The sequence below is a fragment of the Homo sapiens genome, chromosome 9 (assembly GCF_000001405.40).
Source record: "Homo sapiens chromosome 9, GRCh38.p14 Primary Assembly".
Classification (NCBI taxonomy): Eukaryota; Metazoa; Chordata; class Mammalia; order Primates; family Hominidae; genus Homo; species Homo sapiens.
In genome coordinates, this window is record NC_000009.12 from 138,135,229 (window position 1) to 138,149,827 (window position 14,599).

Genomic DNA, 14,599 nt, shown 5'->3' on the forward strand with positions numbered 1-14,599 from the left:
CCAGGGGGTGTCCTGGCCTCCTCCTTTGTAGCTCTCAGATGTCACATGTGGGTCCTGCCGTACCATCCCCTCTCCCTGTCTTGAAACGAGGCCTGCTGAGCTTGAAGCCACCCCACTCCATGCTCTCAAGCCATCTGCTCCTGGGTTAGCTTGTGGCTGGCCTGGCCTGATTCTACATAGATGTGGGTGTTTCTCCAGTGCTGGGGCAGCGGTTGTCCATTCTGGGGCCTGGGTCAGCTCTCAGCTATGGCTGTTGTGCCTGTGCTTCCCCAGGTCCTTGTGGTCACTCCAACCCTGCCCTCAGATATCCTAAGAGCAGGCTGACTGTCTTCCCCATTCCTACCTTTCCAGTAACTGTTGCACAAAGGGACAGACACTGCTGCAGAGAGCTTGCCACGGTGTTTCATGCTGCGGCTGGTGGTTCCAGGCTGCACGCTCCATTCTAGAAAGGGTGAGGATTACTGATCATCAGTCTTAACAGGGGACTGTCCTATGGGTACCTGGATACGCTACCGGGAGTGGGGCAGAGTGGGGTTAGAGTAGTGCCTGATGCCCGTTGAGGGTGTGCGGGTTCCTTAAGAGTGTGCACCCTGTAGCCAGCACGTATGTCTGTTTTTTTTCTTCTCCTTATCACTAATCAGCCTTTGGTAACCAGGCTGGCCCTGCTTCCTGCCTACGGGCTATGGGTGTACCGTCTGGAGCTGCAAATGGGGTGATGGGGCATCAGTAGCCTTCCCACACCCAAGAACTTCCTGACACTCAGCGCCTCATCTCCAGCCAACCTCTGGCTCCCCCAGAGATCCTGGGACCCAGGCCTCACACTCCAGCAGGGGGGGGTCTTCGTCCTTCTGGTGGTGCTCTCCTTTGGAGGTACCGTCGAACAGGGGTGCAACAGATAGAATTCAGGAAGTGCCATCTGTTGCATGGATACCCTGCTGCCACCCTTGTCCACCTTCCTGGGGCAGATCCTGGGATGGATCTTTATGTAAGAACACAAAAGGGAGAGAGAATGCATAGAGGCCAGGCACGGTGGCTCATGCCTGTAATCCCAGCACTTTGGAAGGCCGAGGTGGGTGGATCACTTGAGGTCAGGAGTTCGAGACCAACCTGGCCAACACGGTGAAACTGCCTCTACTAAAAATACAAAAAAATTAGCTGGGTGTGGCAGCGGGCACCTGTAATCCCAGCTACTTGGGAGGCTGAGGCAGGAGAATCGCTCGAACCCAGGAGTTGGAGGTTGCAGTGAGCCGAGATCACACCACTGCACTCCAGCCTGAGCGACATAGGGAGACTCCGTCTCAAAAATAAATAAATTAATTAATTAATAAATAAATTCATAGAGGTTGTCTATGTGACCCTGGGCAAGTGATTTCTCCTCCTTCCCTTCTTGGGATTCAGCTCCTTGCCTGTGAACAGGGACAGTGCTTCTCCCTTACAGAGCTGTTGTGAGAATTAAAGTAGAAAATGCACCTGTGGTGGTTGTTGGTAGTGAGTGGTTCCCCCGATCCCGACTCCCCTGCAGGATGGGGCCTGGGCCCAGGGACAGGGGATGGGCTGGCAGAGGATGCCTGTCCCAGAGAGGAGCCTTCTTGGCAGACGTGGAGATCTAGCTGAGTCAGAGTCCAGGATCTAAGTTTGAGGGTGCATCTTACAGCCTGCAATCATGAGTCTTTGGCAGGGTCAAGCGGCCTTTCTGAGCTTTAGTTCCTTATCAGTAAACCCTGGGCAGTGGTGCCCAGCATCTTTCACAGGACACCACGTGAGTGCAGATGGAGATCCACTGAGCACTCTGCTAGGGAACAATTCATGGGGAGCACCCCTCCAGAGAGGGATGGCTCGCACAGGCCCTCAGCCCAGCCCCTTGCAGGCTGGACCTTGGAGAGTGAGGCCCTGAGACGAGACATGGGCACCTGGCTTCTGGCCTGCACCTGCGTCTGCACCTGTGTCTGCTCGGGAGTCTCTGTCTCAGGGGATGGACAAGGTGAGGGCTGGGCACTAGTGTCTGTATGAGGTGGGTGGAGAACTAGGGTATGTTTGGGGGACTGGGTTGTCCAATGTCGAGCCCCTAGGGAAAGGTTTGGCCCAAACTGTGCTGGGGCATGTCCTCTAGGGGTCAGCCTGGACCTCTGTCTCTAGTCTCTCTTCCTTTACCTCCCTACCTCCGGTCCCTGGACCGACCCTTCCTTCACCCTCTTGACACCTCTCTGGTTCTGACTTTCCCATGTACCATGGGTCAGAGCCCATCACTTCCCAGGCCTCCCAGTGCTTCCCTGGACAGATTCTGGGGTCATTCACTGGTGACTGCCCTGCTAGGATGTCAGCTGTCGGATCCCCCCCAACCCCCCAACTCAGCTCTCTTCTGAAGCACTCACTGTGGGCTCCCAGCCGTCACTGTCTCCAGGGCCAAGGGCTGGAACCTCCACCTGCCTCACCAACAACATTCTCAGGATTGATTGCCACTGGTCTGCCCCAGAGCTGGGTCAGGGCTCCAGCCCCGGGCTCCCCTTCATCAGGTGAGGGTGGAGGGCCATGCCCACCTGGATAGGGATGAGGGTGAGGATTGCAGCAGCTGCACCAGGATAGTGTAGCAGCCCCGTGGTGCTGACACATGCCCTTTTCAGCAACCAGGCTGCTGGTGGCACACAGAAGTGCATCTGGCAGGGCAGTGAGTGCACTGTAGTGTTGCCGCCCAAGGCAGCACTCCTGCCATCTGACAATTTCATCATCACTTTCTACCACTGCGTGTCCGGGAGGGATCGGGTCAGCCTGGTGGACCTGTAGTACCTGCCCTGGAGACACGGTGAACAGCAGCTATAGGCCTGGGGCAGGGCCCCTTGGCAAGAACATCCTGGCTGCCTGGGGGCTGGGAGAAAGGCCCTGCAGCCTGCGACCCCCGTGGCCCAGTAAGTGTTCTCAGTCCCTGCCAAGTAAGATCCAGGGCTGGGGGCAGGCTTGGCCCCTGGGAAGGGAGGGTCCACGTGGTTACTGCAGGGGCCAAAGGAAGTCACTGCTGTCCTGTCCCGCCTGGGGCTTTTCTGGACCAGTCTCCCAGTGAGGTGTCTGGTCTGAGAGGGTCTTGACCATGCCCCTTGGGAATCTTTCAGATCCCCAGTCTTGGGTGTGCTGACTGACACACCCAGACCCATGGGGCTTCAGCCTTACATGGATTCTCTCTGTTCCTGTGAAGCTGGACCCACTCTGACTTGCAGAGCACGTCATCTCGCCACTGCATCCTGACCTGGAGCCTCAGTCCTGCCTTGGAGTCAGTGACCACACTTCTCAGCTATGAGCTGGCCTTCAAGAGGCAGGAAGAGGCCTGGGAGGTAACACTTTGGCTGGCTTTTCTCCTGGGGGCCTCTCTCCTGGGAGCAGCAGTCCAGGGCAGACTCCCCACTCTAAATAAGGCGAGGTCAACTTGGAGTGATGAGGAGGGGAGGAACTGGAGCCAGGTGTGTGTGTGCACACACAGGCTGACATTTACATGTGTGTGCTTCATGTGTGTGTATGTGAGTAGGGTGAGTGTGCCTGTGTCTCTGTGTGTGCACATAAGTGTGGTAAGTGTGCATGTGTTTATGTGTGCACTTACAAGTGTGCCCATGTTTGTGTTTGTAAGTGTACATATGAGTGTGTCTGCGCCTTGTGTTTGTATGTGTGAGTGTGCACATGGGCATGCCTGTGTGTACGTGTATGTGAGTGTGGTGAGTTGCTTCTGTGCACACACTCGTGTATATGAGTGTGCATGCAAGTGTGCCTGTAGACATGTTTGCCTGTGTGTGCATATTTGTATTTGTGGGCAAACGCTGTATCTGTGTGTGAGTGTGCCTTCTCTGTGTGTGTGTGTGCACGTGAACATGGCGAGTGTGCCTGTGTGAACACAGGTGCATTCATGTATGTGTTATGTGAGCGTGTGCGTGTGTGTATTCTCAAGGGCTGAGGGACCCAGCCCCACCTTCAGCACCTGCCAACTGTCGCCACCCCCACAGCGGGCCCAGCGCAGGGATCACATTGTCGGGGTGACCTGGCTCATACTTGAAGCCTTTGAGCTGGACCCTGGCTTTATCCTTGAGGCCAAGCTGCGTGTCCAGACGGCCATGCTGGAGGATGACGGGGCACAGGCCGGTGGAGCGAGGGGAGCCAGCCCGTGTGCTTCCAGGCTCCCCAGAGACAAGGTGGGCGCTGCTATGGCTGCCGCACTTCCAGAGTCTGGGCTGGGTGTCCCCCACTCCCTTTCAGCCTCCTGGAAGCCCCTCCCTGAGGCAGCCATGTCCCAGTTGACCCCCTTCCTCTGAAGGTCTGAGGTCTGCAGGGAGGACACAAACACCTGCCAACTCTGGGGCTTCCTGGGAACCTGTAGTCAGTGGCTCCTGTTAGGAGTGAGGGTGGCAGGGCTGCACACCAGGGCTGGGCTCCTGCCTGGAGGCTGGACATGACCTCAGTGTCCTTAATGGGGGCTGGACTGACCCTTGCGCACTGCAGTGCTGAGACGGCCCAGGGACTTTATGACCCACCGTGTGGCAGATGGGAAGAGTGAGGCCCAGGAGTGTGGTTCACACAAGGTCCTTCAGCAGGTGACACAAACCTCCAAGGCCCATCACAAGGTCCTTCAGCAGATGACACAAACCTCCAAGGCTCATCACAAACCTTCCACTTTGGCCCAGGGCACTAAAGGGCGCACCTTTGCCAGGTGGGTTTGGGGGGAGCCTCCTGGCACTGACGCTGCTCACAGCCCTGGGCCCTTCCTGCCCACGGACCCTCTGATCCCACCCTGGGGGTGGCCAGGCAACACCCTTGTTGCTGTGTCCATCTTTCTCCTGCTGACTGGCCCGACCTACCTCCTGTTCAAGCTGTCGCCCAGGTAGGTGGCTGATGTGTGCGTGTGTGTACATGTGTGAGCGGGCAAGAGTGTGCATGTTAGTGTATGTGTGCAGATGTGTGACTGTGTGCATGTGTGAGTGTGTGCATGTGTGAGTGTGTGGTGGGTGGGCCGTCAAGGGCCGCCCTTGTCTGGTTCCTCCCCTCCCCTCTCCACTGCCTGGTCCTGGATGGGGTGGGCTTTTCGAGTCTCCACCCTGGTCCAGAAGAGGGTTCTCAACTTGCCAGGGGAGAGCAGGGAAGGGGGGTCTGAGGCAGAGGCTGAAGATAAGGGCAGCTTGGTCCCGACCAGTCCCAGAGTCACCGAGATCAAGAGCCCGGGGTCCTAGTCTCCTGCCTCTGGAGGAGCTTGGTTTGTTCATTTGTTCAATGTTCTACAAAAGGACAGTTGGGGCATCTGGTGTACACAGGACCCTCTTCTCACCCTGGCCGATGCCTTAGAGAACAAGATGGACAAGGACCCTCCTTAAATAAACCATCACGCCTCATGCACCACATGTCAGGTTACAAGAGGGAGTGCAGGGGCCATGTCAGGCGGAGGATGTGAGGAAGAGGGTGTGGGGAGAGGGGTGTTGGGTGGGGCTAAGCGGGAGGGTGCTTGGCTTCTCCTTGGAGCAAAGGAAAGTGTGAAACTGTGTAATACGACCTAGTTTATGTTTTGAGGAATGGATTGCTGGGAAAGGGGACATGGGGGACCTGCTGGAGGCCAGTGGGGGCCAGTGGGGTGCCCACAGGGAGATGATTTGGCGTGAGCCAGTGAAAGAAGTGGAGATAGAGCAAGGTGGAGGGAATTGCAGGGTCTTAGGGGGAGAAATAGAGGGGACGTGTGGCTGGATGAGATACGAGCGGTGACCCCTGAGGTGGGGAAATGGGGCACAGCCTTGCGGGGAGGTTGGCGAGGTCTATTTGCACCTCTTGGGTTGGAGCCCCAGGTGACATCCTTGTGGAAGGGTCACTGGATCCTTGGCAGCAAGTCAGGTGCTCAGGGAGACACTGGGTGGGGTGGGAGCCACAGACGTGCTGATGGCAAAGACAGAGTTCCTGGAGGTGCGGCTCCCTCCGCCGGCTGAGGATCTAGCTGACAACTCCCCGTTCTGAACCCGCCATCGCAGCTCATGCTGTAAAGGACGCGCGCCTCAGTATAAGTCAGTTCTATGCGGCCATTAGGCAAGGAGGCCCAGTTGGGTCCTGCCCTGAGAGTGGGTTGGGATGTGATGAGATGGGAGAGAGGCAGTGGCAGGGACGAGGTGGGCGGACCTCCTGCTGATGGAAGGAAGCTCAGCCTCTGCAGTGACCTCAGGCCACCTGGGTCCCCATAGGCCTCTGACTGGCCTCTCCTGGCCTCAGGATGAAGAGAACCTTCTACTAGAATGTGCCCTCTCTAGCAGTGTTCTTCTAGCCCCTCTACGGTGTGCACAATGGGAACTTCCAGGTGTGTGCAGAGACCACGGCAGGGCGTCGGGGGCAGGTGTTGCCCAGAGCTCTGGCCTGCCAGAGATGTTGGCTTTCATGAGGGTTGGCGGCCAGTATGGGAAACTTGTCAGTGCTTGGAGCCTTTTCTGTATATTCAGTGTATTTCAATTTATACGCTGTGTCTCCAGTGGGGAAAAACTAGCTTTATTCTCCGTTACTGATTTTTCTTTTTGTTCTCATGTCTCCAGTTCCACTGTTGACGGAAAAATGTAAATTTCTCATGACTTATCTCTGTCCCCTCTGGTTTGCGGCTGTCTGCACCCACCATGTGCCTCACCTCCTCCTTCTGCGAAGGTGTCTGTCCCTTGGCTGTGGGGAAGGGTCTGTGGTGTGTGCGCTGCCCTTGGGGCTCTCACTGCCTCTGGGCTCCTGCTCTGCCTGGTCCCCTGGTCCCCTGGTCCCCTGGTCCCCTGGTCCCCACAGATCGCATGCTGGCACCACAGCTGTGGAGTGGGCTCTGCAATTCCCCGTCTGTGGCCCTGTTGGGCCCCCACAGCCCAGGAACCAGTGAGCAACTTGGGGGTTGCATCAGCCCCTCCCCTCCCTGCTGGGCTGGCGGTTCATGCCCCCTGGGTGGGAGGAGGGGGAGAGGGAGGGCTCCATTGAATGGTCTCTGGTTTTTCCCCTCAGACTCCTCACTTTGGGCAAAGGACAAGAAGCAGTGAGGGCCCCTCCCTGGGGTCTGGGCCAAGCTGACCCCTCTTCTCCAGGATCTTCCCTCCCTGTGCCCTAGGGCATCCCTGGGCCCTGTGCAGCAAGGATGTCCCTTCCACACCGCGGCTCCAACTTACTATGCAGAAAAATCCTTTTTTCTCTCAATGAGGAGACTAGTTTTCAAGATTTTTGTCCAAATGTTCAATTTGAACCATAAACCAGGCACCTGGCTCTTCACAGAGTCTCCCCCTTTCCCCAAGGTGGTAGGTGTGACTGTCACGAGCCTGGGCAGCCTAGTACAAGGCTGAGCAGGGCACAGATCGCGACTGTCCCCTGGACTGTCATCCTGTTGCAGGCACCAGCCCTTCCCTAGAGAATCAGGGCACCTGCCAGGGGTTATTTAGACCCGCGGGTGGGGATCTGGTGCCGTAGGTTTGTCTCCAGGGAGCAGTGCAGTGACAGAGGGTGTGTTGTGTGTTTAGGGAGCAGTGCAGTGACGGAGGGTGTGTTGTGTGTTGTGCATGGGATGGAGGTTCCTGGTCTCACCAAGGGAACAGCTTCCTTTTGGAGGCGGGGGCCGCCTGTGGCCCCACAGAAGGATCCAGGTCTGCTCGCCTTAGCCCAGTGCTTTGAAAGTCACCAGTCCTGACAGCGACTTGTGTGTGTGTGTGTGTGTGTTTGTGTGTGTGTCTGTGTGTATGTCTGTGTGTCTGTGTGTGTTTATGTGTGTGTGTTTGTGTGTGTCTGTGTGTGTGTATGTCTGTGTGTCTGTGTGTTTATGTGTGTGTGTCTGTGTGTGTCTGTGTGTCTGTGTGTGTTTGTGTGTGTATGTGTGTGTCTGTGTGTATCTGTGTGTGTTTGTGTCTGTGTGTGTTCGTGTGTGTGTGTTTGTGTGTGTCTGTGTGTGTTTATGTCTGTGTGTGTTTGTGTGTGTGTGTCTGTGTGTGTGTGTGTGTGTGTGTTGGGAATGCCCAGTCTCTGCAGCTGCTGAAAGGCCCTGAGGCACATGCTGTCAGGAGCTGGCTCTGTCCTGGGCAGATATCACCATCTGTACCTCGGTTCAGGCTGCCGTGGGCACCAGGTCCTGTGCTGGGGGAGTGCTGAGAGGCCTGAAGGGACTCAGGGTCCCGTGATGAGGCTGGGCTGGCACATGGAGGAAAGACAGAATGTCCAAGACACAGGCGCTGCTTGGCCTCTGGGTGTGGACCTCAGGAGGGCTTCCTGGAGGAGGAGGGATGCTGGGCTTGCCAGAAAGGAGGCAGCTGCTCCCAGGATGAGTTCTGAACATGCTACCTGAGCCCTTCCCTCCTCCTGCACTCTGTTCCAGACTCGGATGGGGGGCCCACAGGGCCGGTGTGCTGCTGAGCCAGGACTGTGCTGGCACCCGACGAGGAGCCTTGGAGCCCTGCATCCAGGAGGCCACTGCACTGTTCACCTGTGGCCCAGCGGGTCCTTGGAAATCTGTGGGCCTGGAGGAGGAGCAGGAAGGCACTGGGACCTGAGCTCAGAGCATGTGCTGCCAGCAGGGTGTACAGAGTGGAGGGCACAGCCCCTTGCCTATCTGCCACAGGAGGACTTGGCCCCCACGTCCCCCACCAGGGCATGTTACTCCCTTCCGTCCTTAGCAAGGCTTGGTCCTGGATGTCCTGGGTCCCTGACTTGCCAGATGAATCATGTCCATTTTGGGAAAATGGACTTAAGTCTCCGGAGCCCTTGTCTGGGACTGAACCTCCTGAGAATGGGCCCCTAGCAGTGGTTGGAGGTCCTGTCTGGATGGAGGCTCAGGGGCAGCTTCAGGGAGAAAGGATCCCTCCGCTCAGTGCCTGTGGGGAGCAGCCTCTACCCTCAGCATCTGCCCACAGGTTCTTCCTTCCGCTGTCCCTTTTCTTTATCCCCGGCCTCTCTGAGAAGAGGGGTGTGGTCTCTCAGCTGTTCCACCATCATCCCCTTAAAGGGCCAGCCTGGGCCCAGTGTACACAGGTAAGGCACCATGACCACCTGGTGTGACCTCTCTGTGCCTTCCTGAGGCACCTTTCTAGAGATTAAAAGGGGCTTCATGGCTGTTCCAAAGTGCTGATGGCTGGGAAGAGGGGCCAGAGGAGGAGTGAGGGGTGAGGTTTGGCCAGCCCTAGGCTTTCTGGGCTCTAGGGACAGCCCGGTGGATGCTCAATGACAGTTTCGGGGACAGCAGGGTGGAGGCTCAGGGGCAACTCCAGGGACAGCAGGGTGTAGGCTCAGGGGAAGCTCCGGGGACAGCAGGGTGGAGCCTCAGGGGCAGCTCCGGGGACAGCAGGGTGGAGCCTCAGGGGCAGCTCCGGGGACAGCAGGGTGGAGGTTCAGGGACAGCTCTGGGCTAAGGTAAGGGTGGAGACTCAGGGGCAGCTCTGGGGACAGCAGTAGTGGAGGCTCAGGGACAGCTCTGGGCTGAGGTCAGGGTGGAGGTTCAGGGGCAGCTCTGGGGACAGCAGGGTGGAGGCTCAGGGACAGCACTGGGCTGAGGTCAGGGTGGAGGCTCAGGGGCAGCTTCATGGACAGCAGGGTGGAGGTTCAGGGACAGTTCCCGGGAGGCCAGAGCCCTCATTCCTCCTTGTCCTCATCCTCCCACTTGCTCCTAGAAACTGAGAGATGAGGCTGGAGCTCCCAGTCAGTGCTGGAAATGACCATCCAGCAGTGATGGTGGCCTGTGAAGGGTCCTGCTTCTGTCCTCAGCCTCTCATGGGGTGGGTTTGAGGGAGAGCTGTGGTCTGGAGAGAGCGGCAGATGGAGCAGAACGTGCCTGCGTTTGTTTCCTAGGGCTGCCGTAACAAAGTGCCACAAAATGGGTAGCTTAGAACCACAGAGATTTGTCTCAGTTCTGAAGTCCAGAAGTTGGAAATAAAGATGTTGGCAGCATTCCTGACTACATGTTCTTAGGCTCCCATGAAACAGAAGTTGATACAAGGCCAAGCAAGTTTCCCAGACAAGGCTTTATTAAGTCTTATGCCCTAAAGGTTGGCCAGGAGGAAGGATTCTTGGCTGGCTCACCAAGGGGAGTGCATTGTGGTGTCTTAAGGAGGGTGACATGCATAATTTATGAGTTAGGTGAGTGTCGTTACACCTACAGGGTGGAGTGAAGGGTGCTCAGATGCAGTAAAGAATCGTGCTAACACATACGTTGCGTGATCAGAAAATAGCAGATAAGCCTATACCGGGGTGGGGACTTTAGTATTATAATGAGGCCAGGGGTAAGGATCAGTCATTCTCCTGGCCTCGTGCACAAGTGGGTGATAGAGTCAACTCCCTTGAGTAAGACTTACGGCCAGATGCTGCTTATCTTAGTTTATTTCAGACAGTTGGCAAGGTCTGGCCAGCGAGTACAGCACCTGGAGGGTGGTGCGGCAAGGTCTGGTGGTCAGCGGGCATGTATGGAACAACACGTTAGTGGGGGTGGGCCGAGTCCTATTTCTACTCTGTCTCAGCAGGGCCATGCTCCCTCTGAAGGCACTAGGGAAGTATCCGTTTTGGGCCTCTCTTCAGCTTCTGTTAGTTTCTTGGCTTGTGACAGCAAAACTCCATTTTTTTTTTTTAAGATGGTGTCTTGGTCTGTCGCCCAGGCTGAAGTGCAGTGGCGTGATCTCAACTTTCTGCAACCTCTGCCTCCCTGGTTCAAGTGATTCTCCTGCCTCCACCTCCCAAGTAGCTGGGATTACAGGTGTGAGCCACCACTCCCAGCTAATTTTTGTATTTTTAGTAGATACAGGATTTTGCCATGTTGGCCAGGCTGGTCTCAAATTCCTGGCCTCAAGTGATTGCCAGCCTCCTCTTCCCAAAGTGCTGAGATTACAGACATGAGCCACTGCACCCGGGCATGTCATCTGTATATCTTTTTTGGTGAGGTGTCTATCTTTTAATTGGGTTGTTTTTCTTTTTGTTATTAGAATTTGTTTGTATATTTTACACACAAGTCTTTTTCAAGTTTGTTTTTTAAATATTTTCTCTCAGTCTGTGGCTTGTTTTTTGATTCTCTTAACGGGATATTTCATAGAATAGTCATTTTAAATTTTAATAAAGTCCACATTATCTTTTTTTATTTTATGAACTGGCTTTTGATATTGTATCTAAAGACTCATCACCAATCCAAAGTCATATGGATTTTCTTCTATAACTTTTACAATTTTATATTTGAAAATTTAAGTCTACAGACTATCTTGAGTGATTTTTTAGGGGTGAGCTATGAAGTTTGTATCTACGTTCATTTTTTTCCCTATGGTTTCCGATTGTTCTGTCACCATCTGTGGAACAGACTTTTCTTTCTTTCCCCATTGAATATTTTTGCCCCTTTGACAAAAGCAGTTGACTATATTTATTTGGGTCTTTTGGGTTCTGTATTCTATTCCGTTCATCTATTTGTCCATTCCTTCACCAATATCACTCTCTTCATTACTTTAGCTTTGTGGTAAAGCTAACAGTAATGAGTGTACTGCTCCTAAACAAGGAGTATCTGCATTTATTTATATATTTTTTATTCTTCCCAACCATGATCCAAGGTTTTCTGAATGCATATTTACATGTATTGTGTTACATTTATACTTAATAAATTCAATTTTGGGGGTGCTATTGTAAATGGTTTTTTTTTATTTCAAGTTCAAATTATTCCTATACATTATTGCTGATAGAAAGAAGGTCAGGCAGTGCATGGTGGCTCACGCATGTAATCCTAGCACTTTGGGAGGCTGAGTTGGGAGGATCACTTGAGCTTGGGAGTTCTAGACCAGCCTGGGCAATATAATGAGACCCACCCCCCCAATAAAAAATAAAATAAAATAATTAAAATAAATAAATAAAAGAAAATCAGGTGGGGCTGGGCACAGTGGTTCACACCTGTAATCTCAGTGCTTTGGGAGGCTGAGGTTGGACAATCTCTTGAAGCCGGGAGCTGGAAGCTGAACCCAGGAGCTGTGATTATGCCACTGTCCTCAAGCCTGGGTAACAGAACGAGACCCTGTCTCTTAAAAAGAAAAGAAAGAAAATCAATTTAGTTTTGTCTACTGGCCATCTTCTTTTTCTTTCTTTCTTTTTTTTTTTTTTTGAGAAGGAGTCTCGCTCTGTTGCCCAGGCTGGAGTGCAGTGGCACAATCTCAGCTCACTGCAACTTCCGCCTCCCGGGTTCAAGCGATTCTCCTGCCTCAGCCTCCAGAGTAGCTGGGATTACAGGCACGCGCCATCATGCCTGCTAATTTTTGTATTTTTAGTAGAGACGAGGGTTCACCACGTTGGCCAGGCTGGTCTCGAACGCCGGACCTCAAGTGATCCCCCCGCCTCAGCCTCTCAAAGTGCTGGGATTACAGGCGTGAACTGGCCATCTTCTTTGATTACTATCTCAATGAGTTCCCGTCAAGGCAGGGGATGGCGGGCTCCATTTCAGTCGAAATTTCCAAAATATCGGCCTGGAAAAATCCAGACGCTGATTTTGAGAGATTCTCCAGAGCTGCCGCGAGGGGGCGCCCGGCCCTGCCAAACCCGGAGGGCCGCGCGCGCGAACCGTGTCCGAACCGCACGGCGGCGTCGTGGGGCTTCCACTGTGAGGACGGAGCTTCCTCTCCTCAGCACCCACCCCGGAGGGGCCGGAGCTTTGGGACACCCGGGGACACCTGGGGCCGCGTCCACTGTGAGGACAGGGAGACGCTCCGGGACACCTGGGGCCGCCGAGGAGAAAGTGAGAAAAAGGCTTTCTGCCCCCGCTGTGAGTGCCGCGGAGCGAGCGCGGCGCGTTTCCCGTCTGGCCATTTGTACCCGGACTTCACTTTGTACCAGCGTCCCTTCATGGAGGTTTGGGCGGCTCACCCCCAGCACAGGACAAGATGCCGGTTACTGATGCGATTTTGTTTCTGGGGAGAGACCCTGGTCCCGGGAGAAGCGGAGGAACGTGGAGACGCCGTTGTGCCGTCGGGCGGTCTGGAGGTTGGGGACTGGCAGGGGCCACAGGCTGAGGCCGAGGTAACAGACGCCCCCTGATCAGTGCTCGTGTTTTTTTTTTTTTTTTTTTTTGAGACAGTTTCGCTTTGGTTTCCCAGGCTGGAGGGCAATGTCGCGATCTAGGCTCACTGCAACCTCCACCTCCCGGGTTCAAGCGATTCTCCTGCCTCAGCCTCCAGAGTAGCTGGAATTACAGGCGTGAGCCATCTCACCTGGCCAGTGCTTGGTGTTTTAAGGCTTATTTGTTAACGTAGTGGAAACAACACAGGAAAATGGAAAAGTAGCACATTATCATGCTCAGGGCACTGCACTCCATTCTGGGCGACAGAGCGAGACCCTTTTTAAGAGTAAAAAGAAAAGAAAGAAAATAAATAGAGTTTCGTCTACTGGCTATCTTTTTTTCTTTTTTCTTTTTCTTTTTTCTTTTTTTTTTTTTTTTTTTGAGACAGAGTCTTGCTCTGTCGCCCAGGCTGGAGTGCAGTGGTGCGATCTTGGCTCACTGCAACCTCCGCCTCCAGGGTTTAAGCAATTCTCCTGCCTCAGCCTCCTGAGTAGCTAGGATTACAGGTGCCCACCACCACATCTGGCTAATTTTTGTATTTTTAGTAGGGATGGGGTTTCCTCATGTGGGCCAGGCTGGTCTCGAACTCCTGACCTCAGGTGATCCACCCGTCTCTGCCTCCCAAAGTGCTGGGGTTACAGGCGTGAGCCACCACACCCAGCCTTTTTTCAGTTTGTTTTGTTTTAAGAGAGAAGGTCTTGCTCTATCACCCAGGCTGGAGTGCAGTGGTGTGATTACAGCTCACTGCAGCCTCGGTCTCCTGGGCTCCAGCAATCCTCCGGCCTCAGCCTCCCAAGTAGTTAGGAGTATAGGCACCAGCCACCATGCACAGCTAATTAAAAAAAAAAATTGGCCGGGCGCGGTGGTTCACGCCTGTAATCCCAGGCGTGAATGACTTTGGGAGGCCTTGGTGGGGGGATCACCTGAGGTCAGGAGTTTGAGACCAGCTTGGTCAACATGGCAAAACCCGGTCTCTACTAAAAATACCAAAATTAGCCATGCATGGTGGTGCGCGCCTGTAATCCCAGCTAGTCAGGAGGCTGAGGCAGGAGAACTGTTTGAACCCTGGAGGTGGAGGTTGCAGTGAGCCAAGATCGCGCCATTGCACTCCAGCCTGGGCAATAAGAGTGAAACTCCGTCTCAAAAAAAACAAAACAAAACAAAACAAAATGTTGGCACAGACAACAGGATCTTTACGTTGCTCAGATTTGTCTTGAACTCCTGGGCTCGAGTGATCCTTACACCTCAGTCTTCCGCAGTACTGGGATTACAGGCGTGAGCCACTGCACCTAGCCTGGAGTCTCTTCTTAACTTCCTTCTCCCTTCCCCTTCCCCTTCCTTTCTTCCTTCTTATTTCCTTCTTTCTTTTTATTTATTTTTTTCTTTTTCTTTTTCTTTTTTTTTTTTTTTATACTGAGTCTTGCTCTCTCGCCAGGCTGGAGTGCAGTGGCGCGATCTCTGCTCACTGCAACCTCCGCCTCCCGGGTTCAAGGGATTCTCCTGCCTCAGCCTCCAGAGTAGCTGGGACTACGGGCGTGTGCCACCACGCCCAGATAATTTTTGTATTTTTAGTAGAGATGCGGT

At 54.2% G+C, this 14,599-nt stretch overlaps 1 pseudogene, besides 1 other annotated feature; it reads left to right on the top strand.

Moving 5' to 3' along the window:
* IL9RP1 (IL9R pseudogene 1) lies at nt 350–9,064 on the top strand (annotated as a pseudogene).
* Nucleotides 9,132–9,318: a silencer, noted in NCBI's record as "fragment chr9:141038812-141038998 (GRCh37/hg19 assembly coordinates)". NCBI's record gives its function as "represses an EF-1alpha promoter that drives an FKBP-Casp9 reporter gene in an ReSE screen in phorbol 12-myristate 13-acetate-treated (for megakaryocytic differentiation) K562 erythroleukemia cells {active_cell/tissue: K562(+PMA)}" and the evidence as "EXISTENCE:reporter gene assay evidence [ECO:0000049][PMID:32094911]".